Here is a 21,393-nt window from a genome sequence, read left to right as displayed (position 1 = left end):
GTGACGGGCCTTCTGTGCTTGGTAGGAAGCTGTCTGGTGGCCTAGAAACTCATTTCCCACACTGGAGAGCTGAGCTGGTTTTGATACCCCCCTCTGATGGACCCTGGTTCTCTCCAGAAAACCTCCCATTTGTTTGGGTGGGCATGGCAAATTTGAATAATCCGAGAAATTAAAGGGTGCTCGAGGGAGCCTCCCTCACTGTCAGAGCGGGCAAGGCGCACAGGAGAAGCGGGCTTGCTTTTCCAAGAAGGCGACGACGGGAAGATGTTGTTCAGGGCTTCTTCAACTCCCCTTTTCGCTACTCAGCTACGGCTTCCTCTAAACTTCCCCAGCCTTTTCTAAACCCTAACTCCAGCTCCCTGGCAGCAGGAAATACTGTTGCACGAACAGACAACATTATGAGTACAACCCCTTCCCCACCTCAGCCCACATCTCTCTTTGGGGAGAACTGTCCCACCCAAGAGGGTGGGCCTCTTGGCAGCCATGTTTGTGCACCACCACGCTGCCTGGGTGGCCACAGCCGATTTGGCTCAGAGACAGCATGTGACCCACACTGGGCCAATCAGAGGCACTTCCTGGGGAATTTGCCCTGACAGACACAGAGCCTGGGGCTGGAGATTTTCTGAGATGCCTCAGGCTCCTTCCCACAAATTTCGCATCAGCTTGAGCTCAGTGGGAGTAGAATCTGCCACCGACAAACTCCTAAGATGGCTTTGTTCATTCCCACCTTCATCATAAATCAGGTCAGCTGGGAACACGGGAAGGTTGCAGAACCCACCTTGCACCTGCCTCCCCTGGTGTCCACCTACGCATTTACTTAGGGGTTTGGAGGCCAAAAAACAACAGCAATGGCCTCAATCGCTGTAGGGTGCTGAGTACTTAGTGCAGAGTCAGGATTAGGGTATGACGAGGGAGGTACTTGCCTCAGCCACAGAATTTAAGGCGGTGCCAAAAAGTCATCCAGATAAATGATATTTTAATGCAATGCATTTAAAAATCAAAATTAATGCCCAAAATTCCATGATGAACAAAATATCAGCATTTTAAAGAAAGACAGGGTCATTCGCAGCGCCGTGTCAAGCCATATTGGAGCCTGAGGCAAAAGGAAAAATCGGTAATACGAATTGTGTCTTTATTTATTTTGATTACCGAGTTTTTTGGCAGTTCCTTCTCCCCATCTTACATTTTGCACTCTAGGTGAACGCTTCACTTGCTCTGTCCTCTTGCCAGCCCTGACTGACTGTGTGCTGGCCCTGGGCTGCCGGCCTCATCTACTTTAATCCTCCTTTCCGCCTGGACACCTCCCATAGCCCATACCTGGTCTCTTGACTCCTCTCCCCATGCTGGCCCACAATCTATTTTCCATCCAGAGCCAGAGAGATTTTTAAAACGCAAATTAAATCTCATTACTCTCCTACTCAGAATCTTCAAATGGATGCCTTCACACTCAGAGTAATAGCTAGACTCTTTGGCCCCAGAGCCGTACACATTGTGGTCCCTATTTTGCCACCACTCTCCTCCCTCCCTTGGTTCCAGCACAGGGACTGCCTTGCTGTAGCAGGAGCACTCCACGCCTGTCCCTGCTCCAGGGCCTTTGCACCGGCCACAGCCTTTGCTGGAACACTCTGCCCCTGAGTGTTTGCCTGGCTCACACCATCCAGGGTTCAAGGCCAGTGTTGCTTCCTTAGAGAGGCCTTCCCTGGCCATCAATCTAAAGTGGCCCCATCCCTGGTCCCTTTTGGGTACATCCCATCCTGTTCTCTTTATAGTATTATCATGACCTGAAGTTTTGTCTGTTAATCTGTTTGTTTCCTTATTGGTTAAAGTTTTTTGTCTAGACTGTAAGATCCATGAGGGCAAGGACCTGGTCCTTAATGCTCCCCAATGGACCCCCTGTGCTCAGCCCACACTCTGTAAGCGTTTTCAGAATTAATGAATGAAGTCTAGTTTTCAGATGAAGAAACTGGTCTGCAGCTCTTTCCAAAGCTCTGAAGGAGTGCACTCTGAGCTCTAACCCGGATCCTCTTTCTCTAGGTGGTCACTGGGATTTTCTGTGTAAAGATTCCTGACCCCCGCCCCCCATCTCTTCAGCTCCCCACACCCTCAGTCTGGCTCTGATTACTGGGCTGCCACCCACCCGCAGACTAACAAACGTAGAACAGCTGTGCCGCAGGAAATCGCCTCCAACTCAACCCTGATGGTGCAGGGATGTCTTTAGTTAACGTAAATAGGCTTTTAACATTCATTTTTTTCTCTTTGTGCAAAATACCTATCATTAATTCTGACTTGCGAGATCAAACAGTTAACAACGTGTTGATCCTAGCTTACTTTCAAGTGATGTATTGTATCATTTTGGAGAGTTATGGGGGGCTGATACTTTCCTTGACAAATGCATCCGAGTCCCTGAGAAAGGGGCCGGCCAGCATCCTGGGAAGGAAGCAATTAACAGCTCCGCTCTGAGGGTTCTGCACACCATTGCGTCATTCCTCCACGTTTTATTGAACACTGGCTTTTTCTTTTGTTTTCTGGGTTTTTTTTTTTCCAACCAAAGGAAATGAGCTTCTCTAATTCATCACTTTGAGCAGCATCAGAGGTAGAGTGGAAAATAAAAGGGCTTCACTGAGCATCACTGGGGTTCTTTTTTCCCCCTCTCTGTGCTGACATGGCTCTGCAGGGTCATTTTGTGAATGGAATCTTCTTGATGTCTTTTGATTGGAGCCCTCTCTGTCTTACCGAGACCCCATGGCTTTTCTGCATTTTGTACCTGAAACACCAAGAGTTCCAAGACAAGAGCATATACTCAAACACCTCCAGGGTCTAGAGAAATATAGAGTGACATAGGCTAGATATAAGACTCTAGGGAGTGGTGGCAGTTTTGCCACAGTCCCCAGCACTCCCTAGTGTCTTGTACCCAGCCTATGTCGCTACTCAGAGCCACACAATTGTGGCCACAGTGGAAACAATTTTAGAAGAATCTGGAAATCTGGATTTGTGTGTGTGTGTGTGTGTGTGTGTGTGTGTGTGTGTGAAAACTGAAAGACACCATGCATGCCAAACAAAAACAGGGGGCCAGAGGCCAGCTGTGTCCAAGCCCTGCTCCCCACCTGAGCTGCTTAAACTGGAGCATGTTTAGCCTCAGGATCCAAGTCAGTGGGTGAAGGAGTCGGAAAAACCTCAGAAGAAATAAGGTTCATCCTCTGGGAAGGGTAATTTGATTAGAAGCATTTTAGGGGAGAAAGTTTGTGAAATTTCACTCAAAGACAATTAAGCACATCATTCTGATATTAGATATAGAGGAGAGGGTAAAAAAAACAAGGGAATATAGAAAACAGAACTTCAAAGAAATTTTGCATTTGCGGCGGTAGACTTGGGGAACTCCTCTGAGTCTTCAGCTCACAGGCTCCTTTTCTTCGGCTTCCTGGAGCATTTTGATGGAAAAGTTGAGAAACTTAAGAGACTTGGTTTTTTCATCTGTGAATTAGGTGTGATAATCGTAACTACCTCTTAGGATGGTTTTGAGTGATCAGAGAGATAATAGTGCATATGGACTTCCTGGCATGGACTGACTCTTAAAGTACACTTCAGCTGTGATTATTACTATTGTTACTCCTTAGAAACAATGACATGTTGCTCCCAAGAGTTGTTTTGGTCATGAAAGCACAATGGATTTCTCACTTTCTCCCATCTATTCATTCTCTTCGGCTGAACTCCACCCCGCTTCTCTCTGAAGCTCTCCTGATTTCTCAGTCCCTGCTGCTCTCTCTCCCTGGTGTATGTGCTGGTTTACGTCACACGCAAATGCAGACACTTGGCCTCGTGTGGCTGTCCAGGTTGACCATTCAATTTGGAGATCAGGCCCTCAGCCCTCCCTGGTGAGCCTTCAACAGGTGCGGGCTGTTGTCAGCTTGCCCGCACCAGCTGGGGAGGGGAGGCCACCTCCCCAACCTGCCACCCGTCTGTCCAGTCATCTCTCTGTAGCAGGCATAGCTAGGTCCCATCACTGTCCCCAGACTACCCACAGAGCATAAGCATAGCAGGAGAGAGCATTCAAAATTAGCCTTGGATTTCTTATTCTGTCTTCGTAAGAAGGGTGTGAATTTTAAACCATCTCAGACAAACAGGGGCAGGCCTTCCAGCCCACGGTTTTCCAGGCTGATTCCCTGTATTCTTGAACATCTCCTTCCAGCTCCTGCAGCGTTCCCTCTTCTGGGATGCAGGGCCATGGACTGGAGCACTCCCCTCAGCCTCTTCCAGGGCCAGGTGTGCGCTGACACACAGTAGGAGCTCATGGAAATTCGGTGGAAATAAAAGCATGCCAGATTAGTTTCCCATACAGGCCATCTGCTTCAGTGGAAATCATTTCTGGCAGAATTTTGATGACATTGGGGCATGTTGAGTGATTTATGGAGCCGTTAAACATACACTAAATCAATCTTGCTCTTTTTTTTTGTAAAGGTTGGGGTGGAGAAGCAATATCCCTAAGGGAAAAATAAAAGTCTCCAAGCTAGGACTTTCAGCCTGGGGCCTGACATTGCACAGAAAATGGCCACTGCAGTCTCACAGGAACGCAGCCAGTCAATGTGAGTATGATAGCTTTCATGTTCCCTGAATCTTACAAAATGTGTATCCAATTAACCACTACTGAAGGGCCTTATTTATAAAATAATACTTTTGTGGTCAGGTTGCACTTTTTCCACTCATTTCGGGTGGACGGGGCTCAAGTTGCAGGTTCCGCCTGTGATTAATGGGGACAAACATGGGGTTTCTGCTGGCATCCACGGTGCTGGGCGGAGTCTGGCCAGAGCAGAGTTTTGTGTGGAACTCAAACTCGGAGACCTCTCTTCTCATTTTGGCCTCTCCTGAGGAGCACCAGGGTGAGGGAAGCTGGGAAGAAGTCTCAGGGAAGGAGGGATGAGGCCATGCGAGCAGTTAAGAGGAAAAGTCATTGATCTCGGGCAGCAGAGGGTATAGTGCTGTGCAGTCACATCTCTTTGGCTCATTGGAGGGGGACGTCTGGAGAATTTTGTAGTGTGTGGGGAAGAGCTCCCTGGGCCACACGAGGGCTGGGTTTCTTGAATGCTGTGTACCTCGTTCTCCAACGCTGGTTGAGTTGCTATAATGAAAGCAGAGCTTAGCGCAGGGAGATTGAGATTTGGAGCAGGTGGGAAAGTGCAGAGGTTGACAAGCTTTTTTTGCAAAGGGCCAGATAATAGATATTTTCAGCTTTGTGGGCCAGACCGTCTCTGTCGCATCCACTCAGTCCCGTCGTTGTAGCGGTGAACGAAGGGGGCGTGGCTATTCCAGTGAAACTTTATTTACAAAAACAGGCAGTGGGCCAGATTTGAGCCAGATTTGAGCAAAACAGCCCTGGTTTGCTGACTCTGGTTTAGTCCAATGAGAATGGAGACTCCCAGAACTGAAGCAAGCTGACCACTATACCCAGGGACTAAATACATTCGCTGTGTCCACAGTGGGCATGAATTTCAGTCTGCAGTCTACGGTGTGCAAGAAATATAAGTCTAATGGAAGTTAATTTATCTTTCAAGCCCCTGTTCCAAGTGGCAGAAACCTAATTTTACGGATTTGGGTTCTCCCTTTCCCTAAGTATTGCTCCAGTTCGGGTGGTGGGGGGTGGGGGAGACCCAAATAGCCCAGGCATGCGAGTGATGTCAGCCTGGATTCTCTCCAGGTGACCCAGACATCCGTGGAAACTGCCTCCTTCCCTCTGGAGTGGTCCTCAGTTCTCACCAGTCGCACCTGTGCCCTCTGCATCTTGAGAGCAGAGCATCTCCGGGAGTGCTTGGCCGCAACTCCCAGAGCAGCCTAAAAGCCCGGCCCATGGGAAGATTTCATTGGATACTGGGGCGTTCTGAGCCGATGAAACCCTGTGAGGCTTCCAGGCACCCAGGCAGACATTTCTTCTGTACCTGCTCCTCTGTGTCTCAGGGAGATGTGGGGAGTTTGCCAGCTCCTGTATTCTATGAATGCTTGACCTAGATTTTCTGTGCTCTTGGATCCCCAGAGTAGAGTTCTATCACTTTCCCCCACGTGACTTTAGGGTCTTGGGGAACAGGAGTGTGTGGACCTCTTGCATGTTCACTATTGTGCAAGTCAGCTATTGACAATGTTGCATAACACACCGTTACTAAGCTCGGTTTCTTGGAACAGTGACAGCGGTTGATCATGATGCAGGTGATCTAAGCGGGGCCCTGCTGGAGGTCTCTGCTTCAGGCTCAGGGTCCGCTGGCCTTGGTTATAGGACACAGGTTGGGCTCATGCAGCCGCACATGTGTTTGTTCTGGGGCCCAGGCTGAAGGGGCAGCAGCTTATCCTGGGCGTATTCTCCTCATGGCAGATCACTGGGGCACAAGAGTAGAGCCCAAACCTGCAAGGACTTCGAAGGCCTCTGCATGTGTCACATCCATTGCTGTTCATTGGCCAAAGCAAGTCACTTTGCCAAGCCCACCATAAACAGGATAAGAGGCATATTCTGCTCATTATGCAAAGGAGAGGGGAGTGACTGTGTGTTGAACAATATTCCAAACTATTGCAAACATCACACGAATCTGTTAGGAATGCTTCCATCAGTGAGGAACAGAACATTCATCTAAACTTCGCTTAAATAGTAGAGATTTGATAATCTCATCAACAGGAAGTCTGGAGATAGTGGAGATAGATGGTTCCAGGACTTTTTTTTTTTTCTGAAGACGCAGTCTCGCTCTGTCACCCAGGCTGGAGTGCAGGGGCGAGATCTTGGCTCACTGCAATCTCCACGTCCCAGGTTCCAGAGATTCTCCTGCCTCAGCCTCTTGTGTAGCTGGGATTACAGGCATGTGCCACCACGCCTGGCTAATTTTGTGTGTGTGTGTGTGCGCGTGTGTGTGTGTGTGTTTAGTAGAGACGGGGTTCCACCATGTTGGCCAGGCTGGTCTCGAACTCCTGATCTCTGGTGATCCGCCTGCCTCAGCCTCCCAAAGTGCTGGGATTACATGCGTGAGCCACCACGCCTGGCTCCCTTAACTAAGTCAGCAATGACCTCCCCCTGGACTCCTGGCCTGCCATCCTTTGTGCTTGGCCCTGTATCATGGTGGCCAGATGACTGCCAAGGCTCTGAGTAGAGCAGCCTTAAATGACAGCATTCTGAGAAGAAAAACAAGGAAGGCCCTTCTCCTCCCACACCTTGATCTTATGGAGGAAGATCTTTGCTCTCAATTCCACGCAGGCCCAACTCTTCTGCCTCCTGCCTTCTCCGTCTCGGGCCTACAGATACATAATCCCTGAAGCAAAGAATCATTTGCAAGAAGACCAGAAATCTGGTGGCTTTGTTTGTGATACAGCATTGTTGTATGCAGAATGTCCCCTCAAAAATGTCCGCACCCTAATCCTTGGAGCCCGAGAGTATGTAATTTTACATAACAAAAGGGACTCTGCAGATGTGACTAAGGTTGGGGATGTTACAGTAGGGGATTATCTTGGATTTTCCAGGTAAACCCAATGTAATCCCATGAGCCCTTAAAAGCAGAGAACTTTCTCTGGCCAAAGTTAGATGTGGCAGGAGACGTCACATTCATGGCATGAGAGGGACTCAACTAACCATTGCTGGAGGAGGCACATGTAAAGCGCAGACAGGACCGCAGCAGCTTCTCAGAGCCTGTCCGGGCTCACAGCCAGCGAGGAGCGGGGACCTCAGTCCTTCACACACAAGGAACTGAATCCAGCCAGCCACTGAATCAGCCTGGAATTCCAGCTCTGGATTCCTCCCCAGAGCCTCCAGGAAGGAGCTCAGCCCTGCCGACACCTAGATCTCAGCCTTGTGAGATCCAAGGCCGAGACCTCACTGAGTCCACTGGGACTTCTCACCTACAGAAGGGGCATCAGCTTATCGGCAATAAACGGCTGTGGGTTTAAGCCCATCACGTTGGTAATAATTTCTTACAGCAGCATTAGGAAACAAACACAGGCAGCATTTCTCCTTCCCCTGCTCTGGGCAGCCGAGGGGAGATCACATGGGTAATCCTTGGCCACCGTCAGGAATACAAGCATGTGCTCTCTTTAGAGAGCAGCCTCTGTCTAGTGGACACTAGACACTGCCACTCTGCCAGTCCAGTGTTTCTCACCCTGTAACTCAGAACTGCTTGGGGTCCTTGTGTAATATGCCTATTCCTGGGCCCACTACATGCCTGCTGGGTCCCACTTTCTGGGTAAGGTCCAGATCCAAGCCTCTTAACATGCTCCCCAGATGACTTCGCAGCAGGCTGATGTCTGAGCTCCATGGTCTCGGTGGCGTGGGCTTGGCGGAGGCTCCATTGCTGGTTGAGCACGGGAATCTCTCCGGGCAGGAATGCGTACTTAACATTCAGATTCCTAAGCACAGGCACTGCCTCCACTGTGTGGCTGGCAGCCCACGTGTAACGCCCCATGTCCTCTCTGTGCTTATCATTCCTGTATCAGGAATGGCAAACTCCTGCCCCTTTCTATAGCCTCTAACCCCCAGGGTGGCAAGTGAGTGAATTGGGAACTGATTCCAAGAAGGATTAGCTGGGCAGACAGAAGGGAGCAGGTTTCTTCTGTGGGCACCTGGGGGTCAGTTTCACTGGGGGCTTCCCATAGGTGGTTCAGGAGGTGCCTGGGAGTTAGCCCTTGAGGAGATGAACAGTGCATTCACTCCTACCATTAATCATTGCCTGAGGGCTGCTCCCAGGAGAGTGTTAACCCCTCTGCCCTGAGTACTTCTGGGGAGCACTAGCATGTCCTGGCACTGGGAGCTATTGCGTTCTAATACCCGGGAAAAGTGAAGGCCAAGGGGGTAAGGACAGGGCCCCCACAGCATCTGCTAGAGTCCTGTTCACTAATTTATCTGCCACCTCCCTTTGGATGGAAAACCAACCTCTTTCCAGATCAATGAGTACACTTTCCTAATATCCATTGTTACAGCTGCAGAGCGTGGCCTCATAATGGATGATCCCGGAGGATGGTACCATCCCCTGCCGTTCCACATTCAGTTATATCAGGTTTTCATCTCTGTTAAGAAGAGGTTTTTCACCAGTACCTTTTTTGAGAGCCACATCTTACAGATTTCTGAAAGTTCGTTGCTAACTTGAAAAGAACTATTTGCTTCTGTCCCCTGCCAGCAGGTGAGGGTGACTGCACGTAGATCTCATCTTGCTTCCTTTTGTTTCAGTTTGGGTAAAATCTGGATAAGAAGCAGGCAGCAAAGAGCAGGACAGCCTTGTGCAGGTGGTGAGAGGAGCCTCCACCAGTGCAGAAGGTAGCGGACAAAGCAGGAGAGAGGCAGGGAAATGCAAATGGCTTCCCTCAAACACCGTGCGGTGCATTTGTCTTATTTTCTGGTAGGAGTAAAAGCGACCCCATAAAACTAACAGTTTATCTTCAAGACTTGGGATACTTTTGACTCTAGGGGGATGATCAAAAGAGAATGTTGGAGGGAAATATAAACACCTTTGGGGTCACAGGTTAGCACTGAGCCTTGCTTTTGGCAGCGTAATTAAGAGTCCTTTGACATGGGGGGCGTGGGGCTGACATCTCCCTGTGACAACAAATTCTGCCCGTGCTCTGCCTCGAACTTCCCAGCACAAAATTCTGGGCCTCCTCTCTCCTGCCCAGCCTGAAGGCATCTGCCTCCCGCACAGCTACAGAGAAAGAGATGACTCAGCCCCCAGGAGTTCGTCCACACTTGCCCTTGTTAGCAGACGCCAGTGCGCATGTGGCGGCCCCTCTCCCCAGCAGGCCCACCCTTCCTTCTTTCTTTCAACGGGTCCTGAACCTCCATGAGGCCCAGTTCACTGGGCCCCCGTTATCACAAGTCCAGGGTACCAGTTGTTCTGCCAATTCCTGTATTCATCCAGTCAACAGATAATTCCACAGTACAGAGCAAAGTGGAGAAAAACTGCATCGTGGCATCTTCCCAGGAGACAAGACGGAGAACAAACAATGCGCAACCAAGCAAAGGTCGTTTTGCGTGATAGCAAGGGCCGTGCAGGAAACAAACAGGATGTGGTAAGAGCAACCAGAAGGGCCACAGGATTTATTTTAGAAAGACCATCAGGTAAGGAGCCTGCCCTGCAAGAAACTGAGATGCAGGGACCCCATGATTGATGCCCTTAAGTTGCTGAGTGAGCTTGTGTATTTGAGGACCCAAGAAGGCCAAGAAAACTGTACGACTGTGAGCAAGGAGGAGGATGCTAAGAAATGAGGCCAAATGGCAGGCAGGAGCCAGACCACAGAAAGCCTTAAGTCCTCGGGGGAAGAGGAGGCAGAGTATGGAAGCCTCAGTGAAGTCTGTTCTGAGGAGACGTCACCTGAGGAGAGGTGGAGGTGCCCTGGTGGGTTTTCACATTCAGTCCCTCACTCATTTATTCTGCAAGTATGGATTGAACAGCTACTATGTGCTGGACGTGTGACAGAAAGAAAAAAAAAAAACCCTGTCTTCAAGGAGCTTCTGTTCTAGAACAGGGTTTCTCAACCTCCCCACTGCTATTTTGGGCTGGATCATTCTTTGTGGCAGTGAGGCTTTCCTGGGCATTATAGGATATTTAGCTGTGTCCCAGCCTCTACCTGCTAGACGCTGGTAGCACCTGCACCCCCCAAGTCCTGATAAACAAAAACGTCTCATGGAGCTCCATCCCTTGTGGGAGACATTGCTGCCTGGTTGAAACCACTGCTGTAGAACTTGACAGCAGAACTCATCTTGGGCAGGCATCTTAGGTTGGGTGTCCCGGCAAATCTCAGAGGGAGATTTGCTGCAGAGGTTGCTGGGGGAAGAGCTTTGGGATCAGTGGGGTGGGGACGTCAGCAAGGTGGACAGAGGATGCGGATGGGGATGGATGGGGATGTGGTGACCGCAAGGGCCTCAACCGGGTCCTGTGCTCCTGCAGAGGTGTCCTGCCTTGAGCAAGAGACCAGGCCTCCCTACCCCATAACCTGTCAATGGGCACAAGGTCACCACCTCCTGGGACAGGGTGTGATGTTGGGGATACGGCTTTTGTCAGCCAAAGGCCTTGGTCACTGACACCCCCAGCAGCCGGGGAAGACTGTCCTTGTGTCTCAGTTACTGTGTAGGGGCCTTAGGTTGACACAGGAACAATTTGATATATAGGCAAAGGATTGAGATTTGATTTCAGGCCAACTGGGGCTATGCTGGCCTTTAAATATGTCCCTGAAGCAGAGATGTTGCTTTTTAAAAACAAAATTGAGGTGAAATTCACATAATGTAAAATCAACCATTTGGAGGCGTGAACTTCAGTGGCACTTCGTGTGTTCACTGTTGTGCAGCCATCACCTGTAGCTGCAAACATTTTCATCCCTCGAAGGGAAACCCCATACCTGTTAAAAAGTCTTTCCCACTTCCCTCTGCCCCAGCCCCTGGTAACCACGAATCTGCTTTCTGTCTGCACGAGGTGACCCACTCTGAGTATCTCCTATAAATGGAATTATACACTCTGTGGCCTTTTGTGTCTGGCTTCTTTCACTTAGCAGGATGTTTTTGCGGTTGGAGCTCAAATTTACAATGTAAATATTCCTGGGGAGGGCGATGCAGCTTCTTAAGTGACTGATGCTGCGTCCTGTCTTGAGAGCCAGTATTAGGTTCCCGGTATGTTGCCTTTGAACTGAGCAGTCATGATCCAGCTGCGGAATCATCCCATGTGGCAGCCGCCACCTGTGGAGGCCCCTTATGTGTGGTTGTTAAAAGTCCACGTGCAATTCTGAGGATGTCCCCAGGCTAAGAACCTCTGGAAAAGTGTTTTCATTTTATGCTCTATCACCTAACTCTTAGACCTATATAAAAATATGCCTATAATAATGGTATAATCTATTCACAGTTATGATAACAATTGTTTACCCCCTTCCTCATTTTATAGATAACGATGCAGTGGGTCAGAGAGGTCCAGTTAGTTGCTTGCGGCTATTGAGTAGCAAGCTGGGATCAGAGCCAGGTTTGCTTGACTCTTGAGGACTAAAGAATTGGGGGAGGAAGTGATGGCAAGAAGAGGAAAGGGGATGAGTGGAGAGACAGATGCCGTGTGTTTCTCAAACCATCTGATACTCCTCTTGGGCTCCCAGGAGACACTTGCAGCTCAGTGGTGCGGTGGGATGGGTTTGCCAGACGAAGGGTGGGTGGAAGTCACTTCGAAGCCTGGCACTTGGAGCCTCCTGCAGGATCTCTGCCCTCACCTCTTCTGTCTGAGCTTTGGTTGGCTGGAGGCCCTGGGACCCCTAGAGCCTGATGATGGTAGGGGCCTAGCCCCAGTCGTGACTTGGGAGATGGTCTCACTTTGTTAGATTGTGAGAGGGGCAGGAAGTAAACTTTTACTGTGTATGTTAATTTCCAGTTTCTGCTGTACACATTACCACAAACTCGGTGGTCTTAAACATCAAAAATGTATTATCTTATAGTTCTGGAGGTCAGAAGGCCTAAAGTCAAGGTCTCACCAGGACTGTATTCCCTTCTAGAGGCTGGAGGAAGAATCCGTTTCCTTGCCTTTTCCATCTTCTAGAGGCCACCTGCCTTTCCTGGCTCCTTCCTCTGTCTTCAAAGCCGGGAGTGCAGCATCTTCAGATCTCTCTCTGCCCCTGTCTGTGCTCTGTCATCTTATCTCCTTCTTCTTCTGCCTCCTTCTTAGAAAAACCGTTATAAGAGGTCCAGTTAATCTGTCTATCCCAATATCTTTAATCACATCTGCAAAGTCCCTTTTACCATGTAAAGTATTATATAGGTTCTGGAAATTAGGACCTGGTCACCTGCGAGGGGCCATTCTTTACCCAGCATTCAGTGTTAAGCCACTGTGGTTTAGGGATTATTTGTTATAGCAGCACACAGGGTTACCCTTACTGTTGTCCAACCGAGGATGTCGACTACCAAAATTAAACTACTACCTCCAATTGTGCCACACTCAGACCTGAATGGGAATCAAGGAAAGTGGAAATGAATTCCCTTAAAAGGGCAGGTCTTTCTGTTTGAGTGGAGCATGAATGGCTGTTAGGAATTACTCTTGCGAAAATTCTAGTTGCCAGCCACAGAAGCTAATGGTAAAAGGAAGACAGGATGAGAACTGAAGAGAACTGACTTGTCATTCTCACTCAGCTACCAAAAAGGCTTAGAGCAATTTGCTTTCGCTCAGAGAGCCTCACTTACTTCCTCTGTAAAATGAAGGGTTTCACCAAGTTTACAGTGAAAAAACATTCGATGCATATGCTTCGCCTATCATTCTGTGCCTGAAGCAGACATGACTAATCAATCACAATGAAGCATTCCGTCCCACTCAATCCAGCCTCAGCTCCACACACTTGCATTGTGCTGTGACCCAGGCAGCTATTCCCAGTTAAGGGAGTTCCTTCAAGATGAGACCCAGCTAAATCTGAGCCTTAGATGATCGCTAAGCTCTCTTTTAATTTTTGCATTCTATGAAACCATGATTTTGTGAGCAACCTCATCCTAGCAGGGGGAAGGTAAACCAAATTGTGGAATTTCAGAAAGATTTTCCCAACAGTTAGAGCCACTCAGCTTCTAGACCTGTGTAAATAAAGCCCCAGGCAGCTTTAGCTTGGGGGTCAGGCTCTCCTCCTTGTAGCCCAGCTTCTAAATTACATGTTTCAAATTTCCCTTCCTCTGGTTTGGGATGCCATGGTTTGGAATGGGGGAGGGCTATTAACTTTTACAACCATGGAATACAAATAATATTTCTCTTGGAGAATTTTCTCATTCCCCAGGCCATTTCCCCAAGATCCAAGAGTTCAAAGTTATTGCAGGGTGTTGTTGAGTTGTATTACTTAAACCCACAGAGCCCATTTAATATTCACTCAGGCCCCAGTGCTCAAACTTTTATTCTTAGTGATTTCAAGCATGACTTCCCCACCCTGTGGCTGCGTTGCCACTTGGTACACTCCCTTGTTTCTTCTTTGTGATCATCCTAGTTAAATTGGCTTCCGGAACATGTGATGGGCTTTTTCTTCTCTGGAAGGACTGTTGATCTGTGCAAAAGCTGGTCTTGCTTCTCTTTCATACCTCTGTGTGTATAGTTTAAACATTTTTTCTCCTGTGTTTTTCTACATTTGCTGTGATCGTTAGGGTTTTTGACAAAGTTGTGATGTCTGAATGCTCAATTTGTTTGAATGTTAGATTTTTTTAAAAAATAGAATTTGCCTGTCATTGGACCCTCCTTAGGTAATTGGCATCTCTGAAATCTAATTAAATGGAATTATATGATAGTGGTTATTGCAGGCACAGGCTGTAGGGGCAGGCTGGGAGTTGCATGACCCTAGGTAAGGTATTTAATCTTTCTGAGCCTCAATTTTATCTAAAAGCAAGGATAACAAGAATAGCATCTATTTGTGGCAAAATCTGATCATTGTCCCTCACTATGCATCTCCCCTTCTTCCTTAGCAAGAAAAACTCTGATTCTTACTTGGACCTGTGACAAACTGGAATAAAAAATCACATTTTGCAGGCTGGGCATGGTGGCTCACACTTGTAATCCCAGCACTTTGGGAGGCTGAGGTGGGTGGATCACCTGAGATCAGGAGTTCGAGGCCAGCCTGGCCAACATGGCGAAACCCCGTCTCTACTAAAAATACAAAAATTAGCCTGGCATGGTGGCAAGCGCCTATAATCCCAACTACTTGGGAGGCTGAGAAAGGTGAATCGCTTGAACCCAGGAGGTGGATGTTGCAGTGAGCCGAGATCGTGCCACTGCATTCCAGCCTGGGCAACAGAGCAAGACTCTGTCTCCAAAAAAAAAAAAAAAATCACATTTTGCATTTTTTCTTGCACCCAGATCATGTATGTGACTGAGTTCTGTCAAAAGGGGCATAAACATGTGCTCTTATAATTTCTAGAAAGTGTCCTTAAAGGGGAGGGGGGTGATGTCCTTCTTTGTTGCTTCTTCCTTCTTGCTGACTGGAGTTTTGTGTAATGGCTGGATCTCCAGCAGCCATCTTGGACCATGTGGGTGACCCTGAGAACATAGACCACACAGGGTTAAACATGAGGAAAGGGTTGGAGTTTCCCAATCCCAGCCTTGCATTGCTTACCTCTGAACTTCTAAATTTTCTTTAAACCACAGATAGTTTGGGTTTTCTGTGACTCTTATTGGACTTGATGCTAACTGATATACGCTTACCTCAAAAAGTTGTGACGATTGAATGGGTCAACAATGGATTAACAGCTTTGAAATACTTAGCACATGGTCTGGAATTGAGTTGGTCCTCAATACATGGTAGTTTTTATTTTTATTATTCTTTTAAACAAAAAAATAGCATCACATTTGAGTTGTTTTATTTCTTACAGGAGAAATCCGAGCTGAGCTCGTGTGTAACAGGAGCCTGTGATGCTCCGAATGTCTGCCGTGGCCATAGGCCCATTTGGACCTAGATCCTATATTCTCTACTCCATGATCCTTCTGGGGTTCGCAGATAAAATACAGAATGCCCAGTTAGATTTGAACTTCACGTCAACAACAAATAATATTTGAGTATTAATATTCCCAAATATGGCATGGGGCATATTTACACTAAGATATTATTTGTTGTTGGTCTGCAATTAACATTTGTTGGCCATCCTATATTTTTATTAATGAAATCTGGCAACTCTAGGCCTATGCCTCTCTCACAGCTACCTGGCCTAGGGATTGTTATAGATGGGTTTCTAAGGAAGCAGATTAGGAGGTGAAATTGGTGTGAAGGAAGGTCACTGGGGAGTGTTTCCAGGATGAACGTGTGCAGGGAGGGAGAAGCTGGGCTTTAGAGATGTCACAGCCAAGACCTCAGCTAACTCACGGAAGTCTGGAGTCAAGATGGCCCTTCAGGAAGGTCATGAATAGGGGAAAATGGGGCCTGGACTTTTCTGCTTTTTCCTTGACCATTCATTGCACATGGGCCACCCCAGGAAGGGGCCTGACTTTGAGGCAGGTGGCTGTCAGAACCTGAAGACAATTCCTGGAGAAGGATTCTGCTAGAATGATCAGCCATCAACACCCCCAGCAGCCTGGGGAATGTGCCTCAGATCTGAGGGAGGATCTGGGTGGCACATTATGGCACCCACGGCAGGGTTAGATGCTTACCTCCAGAGAAGCCATCTATGGCTTGGCCAGGACAGCAATGCCACCAGGGACATGCAGTGCTGGTGGTGATGGCCAAGCAGTTAGGCCGACTCCCTTAGGGAGCCCACAAAGGAGCACTTAAGAGGGGGTCTGGGGCTGACTCACAATGGTGAGTGTCCAGTGAGTGGGGAGAGGACATGCCCGGCTCCAGCAGGAAAGTGCCGCCAGTTCTGTGGAGTCCCAGGATCTCCAGGGAGCCCCCTTTTAGGATGCTGGCCTTTTAAGCTGTTTTCTGTCTTCCTTGCTTCCCAGGGTTTTCCTGAAACAAACTCTCATCATCTGAGAGAACCTGCATGCACCTCTGCTCCCTGCACCCCAGAGGGAACCAGCAGTGTGCCCTGGGAAAAGCTGGGGCCCCACAGGTCCCAGTCTCTGAACAGGGTCTCGTATAAAGAAGCACCGTCCAGCAACTATTGCAGCATTCACTGGCATCTCGAAGACAGTATCAACGAGTATCTACATCACAACCCGTAACCTCGCTCCTCAAGTTCCCTGTCCTCCCCTCCCAACCCCTGTACCCACAGCTGATCGTGAGCCTCACACCCACCCACCTCCAGCAGTGCCAGATTCACTCCTTACTTCCCCACTCTCTTCATATGGAGAGTGACAGCTTCCCTAGGTGGGTTAGAGCCGCTTTGGGCCCATCTTTCTGATCTTGTCTCTCTTGTTCCATTCTCCAGTTTTTTGTTCTAAAATATCTGGCAAACACGTCATTTTGAATTAGTTTGGGGAGGTCAGGGTGCAGTTGGGGCAGGAACATTTCCACATTAACAATTCTTGCTCTCACCATGATACTGATTTTTTTTCTGGAGACAGAGTCTCGCTCTGTTGCCCAGGCTGGAGTGCAGTGGGGCGATCTTGGCTCACTACAACGTCTGCCTCCTGGTTTCACACAGTTCTCATGCCTCAGCCTCCCGAGTAGCTGGGACTACAGGTGCATGCCACCATACCCAACTCATTTTTCATATTTTAGTGAAAACAAGGTTTCACCATGTTGGCCAGGCTGGTCTTGAACTCCCAAGCTCTGGCAGTCTGACTGCCTCGGCCTCCCAAGGTGCTAGGATTACAGCTGTAAGCCACTGCACCCGGCCAGATACTGATTTTTTTTAACCCTACTATTTACTGGGCACATACTACACATCAGGCGGTGACCTCAGTATTTTCCATTGAAAAGATCGTTTAATCCTCAAAATGATTTCATAAAACTGATTAAAATCCCTAATTTATAAGTAATAACTGAGAGAGATCAAGTACTCCAAGAAAGAAGGAAAAAGGGAGAGAGAGAAGATCCTTGTGATGATGAAATCCCTTAGACTTTGCCATCTCATCTTTCTCCTGCCTCCACACAAGGTCGTAGAAGAAAACAACATGGACCACTTGCCAGCGTCTCTTTGAACAGAGAAGCTACTGCTGTCTAAGGTAGGTTTTATTAGAGCCCCAGGAAATGAGAAATTATTATTTCAGAAGCATCATTTTTCCTGCTGGGTGGATGTACAGAATAGTTGGGGGAGATGTATTTTAGCCGTTGGTCCTGGTCACTGTTTTTTTCCCTGTTAATCCCAAGACTTTTTTCTTTTTCTTGTTCTTTTTTTTTTTGAGACGGAGTCTCACTCTGTCACCTAGGTTGGAGTGCAGTGGCATGATCTCTGCTCACTGTAACCTCTGCCTCCCGGGTTCAAGAGATTCTCCTGCCTCAGCCTCTGGAGTAGCTGGGACTACAGGCACATGCCGCCACGCCTGGCTAATTTTTTGTATTTTTAGTAGAGACAGGGTTTCACTGTGATAGCCAGGATGGTCTCGATCTCCTGACCTTGTGATCCGCCCACCTCGGCCTCCCAAAGTGCCGGGATTACAGGTGTGAGCCACCGCGCCCGGCCCTGAGACATTCTTTAAAAGTTAGAATTACAGGCACCTTTGCTGGAAAGCAGGATTCCTGGGCAGGTGACAGGCACCAGAGCAACCTCTGAATCTCGGAAAAGGCAGCTGTGTTCTTATGAATGTTTCCAGTGCTGCGCCAAGGCAGCCTCCAGGGGTGGTGGAGCTGCTGGTTTCTTACTCTGAGGCAGGTGGGGCCCTGCTCTGTGAGGCGGGCAGTGCTGCGGGTGTAGTGGGGTGAGCGGTGCTTAGGTGGGGTGGGGTGGGGTGGGTGGTGCTTAGGTGGGGGTGGGCGGTGCTTAGGTGGGGTGGGGTGGGCGGTGCTTTGATGGGGCGGGGGTGGGCGGTGCTTAGGTGGGGTGGGCGGTGCTGCAGGTGTAGTGGGGTGGGCGGTGCTTAGGTGGGGTGGGCGGTGATTTGATGGGGTTGGGTGGGCAGTGCTTAGGTGGGGGTGGGCAGTGCTTTGGTGGGGTGGGGTGGGAGGTGCTGCAGGTGTAGGGTGGGTGGTGCTCAGGTGGGGTGGGCAGTGCTTAGGTGGGCTGGGGTGGGCGATGCTGCAGGTGTGGGAGAGTGGGCGGTGCTTAGGTGGGGGTGGGCGGTGCTTTGATGGGGTGGGGTGGGCGGTGCTTTAATGGGGTGGGGTGGGCAGTGCTTAGGTGGGGTGGGTGGGCGTTGCTTTGATGGGGCGGGGGTGGGCAGCGCTTTGGTGGGGTGGGGTGGGCGGTGCTGCAGGTGCGGGAGAGTGGGCGGTGCTTAGGTGGGGGTGGGCGGTGCTTTGATGGGGTGGGGGTGGGCGGTGCTTTGATGGGGTGGGGTGGGCAGTGCTTAGGTGGGGTGGGTGGGCGGTGCTTTGATGGGGTGGGTGGGCGGTGTTTTGATGGGGTGGGTTGGGCAGTGCTGCAGGTGTGGGAGAGTGGGTGGGGCTTAGATGCGGGTGGGGCGGGCAGGGCTTAGGTAGCGGGTGGGCAGTGCAACAGGTGAGGTGGCCGCCTGCTGTTCAGTCTCCTGGCCTCCATGTGCCCTCCTCTGGTCAGTGCATCTTGCCTTCCTTCTGCAGAGCCACCATCCCCAATCCCAGGCACAGGGCTTGAGGGAAACTTATTTTCTGCCCCCACCTTCCTTAAAGGTGGAACTCATGACTGAGACCTGAGCCTATCAGCCGGTCACGTGATCCTGGCCCAGGGCTATTGGCTGTGGGAAGTGGATGCTGCCCGCCCTGTTGTCCTGTGGGAGCTTGAGGGGATGTACATCTGGCATTGCTGGCAGGCATTTTGTTCCCATGAGGGAAGAGTCTGGGAGAGAAGCAACCTGGTGGAGAGTGGGCCTAAGACACGGAGAGAGGATGTTGATGCCGTGAGTTCCCAATCCCGCCGCGCCCGTCAGACTTACCCTCAGCTTTCCAGTCTCAGGAGCCAACACTCTTTCCTTCAGCCAGATCAAGGTCCTTGTCACTTACAGCCAACACCACAACTGATACAAAAGGGAAGGACACAAAACAATTGTGGAGAAAGCCGTCTGGATGGAGCCAGCAGCTTCGCTACCATCGAGTGGCATTTCCAGAGAGCAGATGCACGCGGAGGGGTGTAGTTTGAAGGAAGACCTGGCGGGATTTGCTAATGAATTGGATAGCAGCGTAGTGAAAGAGACCCTCAGGAATGACTTCCGGTTTTTAGGCTAAGGAATTGCAAGAATGGAACCATGAACGGAGATGTTGGTTTAGACCAGTCGCCCTCTGGACCAAGCTGCTGTGAGCATGGATTTAACAAAATGTCAGCCCCACTGGGTATGATTTTCAAGTATGAATTCAAAACCTATGGTGAGTTTCTACCAGTTTAATCAAAAGTCCTTTTATTTTGTTCTGGGTAAACACAGCTACGTCTGGGGTTTGCATGCAAAGCAGTGGCTTTGACTTTCTTTTCGTTTTTTTGTAAAGCAGTATTCATCCAGTTATGAGAAAACCACTTTTGCTTATTGACCTTCTAAAATGTCGGCATTGTAAATCAAATCACTTGCAAAAAATCCTCCAAAACATAATTTTTCAAAGCTTTCATCCCTAAAGAAGTCAATGTATAAGGAATAAGTGGTGAACGAGCCAGGGTCCTCTTCTCCTCTCTAGAGGAGGTAAAACGTCCTGGGCTGGGAGAGAGAGGAAGAGAAGCCAGAGGTTGGATGGTGGGCAGCTTTTGAGAAGGGGTTTCATGTTCTGCCCTTCCTGGGTCAGTTTCATGGAAGGTCCCCAATGCACGAACAAATCAGAGAGGCCTGGAGCGGTAGGAGCTCAAGGGCAGAGCCATGAGCTGCGTTCCGGCGACAGAGGAGACATGGCTGGTTCGCGTCGTGTCTGCATCTGAGCAGAGAGCTTGCCTCTGCTTTGTGAGTTTCTCCAGCCCTGAGTGGGGAGTGGAGCAGCCTCTTCCCCTACCCCACCCCTGTGTCCAGGGATGCTCAGAAGTCCCCGAAGTAAAGGCAGACTTGGAGACACCTGGAGCCTGGGAATGCGGGAGGGGATGGACTGGATGATGTCTTTGTGAATCTCTCAAGGATGGGCAGGATGTGGTCCATCTCAGTGGATAGTGGCCTGCAGCGCAGGTGACTGGCAGACAGGTGTGTCCCCAGTCTCCACTGCTGCAGCCGGCAAGGCCCTCTGGAAACCTTGCTGCAACCTCTGATGGGAACAGCCCCGGTGGATGGGAAGCTGCTGTCTGGATGAAGAGTGATTCAAGGAAGCTATGGATGGAGTTAGGGAAATACAGCATTGCATTTCATTCTGGGTCTGATGCGTGTGCCTGACTCAGGGTGGGGCTTCTCTGGGACTGTTAAGAAGTGTGTATGAGTTCTCTATGAGAATTTAAATGTGCATATATTTGGGTCCCTCCAAAATTCCTAGGTTGAAGTCCTCACCCCTACTGTGATGGAATCAGGAAGAGAAGCCTTTGGGAGGTGATTAGGTCATGGAGGGTGGGGCTCTCATAGATGGGATGAGTGCCGTTATATAAAGCCAGAGCAAAGAGAGCTCCCTTGTTCCTGCGTCTGTGGGAGGACGGCGCCACCCAAGAACCAGGAGGGACACACTCAGCAGACACCCAATCTGCTGGTGCCTTAATCCTGGACTTCCCAACCTCCGGAATGATGAGCAATAAAGTTCTGTTGTTTGTAAGCCATCCAGTCTGTGGTGTTCGGTTATAGCATCCTGAACAGACTAAGACAATGTTTTGTAAGAGCCCATTTGGGTTTCCTGGGTGGCCCACAGGAGCTATGCAGGGGTTCTGGGGTCTGTGCCTTTGGGACTAGATGACGCAGCTGTCAGAGCCTGTGGCTTGGCTTGGTCAGCGCCTGCCCTTCCCTCCAGTCTCCTCCATCTTGGCTCCCACCCCTCCTGCCCCCACTGCTCCCCCAGCTCCAG

At 49.6% G+C, this 21,393-nt stretch overlaps 1 long non-coding RNA gene across 5 annotated transcripts, besides 1 other annotated feature; it reads left to right on the top strand.

The window, feature by feature from the left end:
• The first annotated feature begins 586 nt into the window (after positions 1 to 586).
• On the top strand, positions 587 to 21,151 carry LOC105372685 (uncharacterized). 5 transcript variants are annotated; one of them, XR_936901.3, is made up of 5 exons: positions 587 to 743; positions 4,456 to 4,580; positions 16,368 to 16,734; positions 17,466 to 17,534; positions 19,048 to 21,151. It is a non-coding gene; the product is annotated as an uncharacterized LOC105372685 (long non-coding RNA). The 5 variants fall into 5 exon arrangements; XR_007067759.1 differs by having other exon boundaries at positions 592 to 743; positions 16,368 to 17,534; XR_007067760.1 differs by having other exon boundaries at positions 599 to 743; positions 16,368 to 17,534; positions 19,117 to 21,151.
• Positions 3,867 to 4,368: an enhancer, noted in NCBI's record as "H3K4me1 hESC enhancer chr20:55707263-55707764 (GRCh37/hg19 assembly coordinates)". NCBI's record gives its function as "activates a minimal SCP1, AML or CMV promoter by ChIP-STARR-seq in primed H9 embryonic stem cells {active_cell/tissue: H9 hESC(primed)}" and the evidence as "EXISTENCE:reporter gene assay evidence [ECO:0000049][PMID:30033119]".
• Positions 21,152 to 21,393: the final 242 nt, after the last annotated feature.

Source organism: Homo sapiens, chromosome 20 (assembly GCF_000001405.40).
Source record: "Homo sapiens chromosome 20, GRCh38.p14 Primary Assembly".
Lineage (NCBI taxonomy): Eukaryota > Metazoa > Chordata > Mammalia > Primates > Hominidae > Homo > Homo sapiens.
Note: the sequence above shows the minus strand (reverse complement) of the source record. Positions and strands in the feature narration are given on the sequence as shown.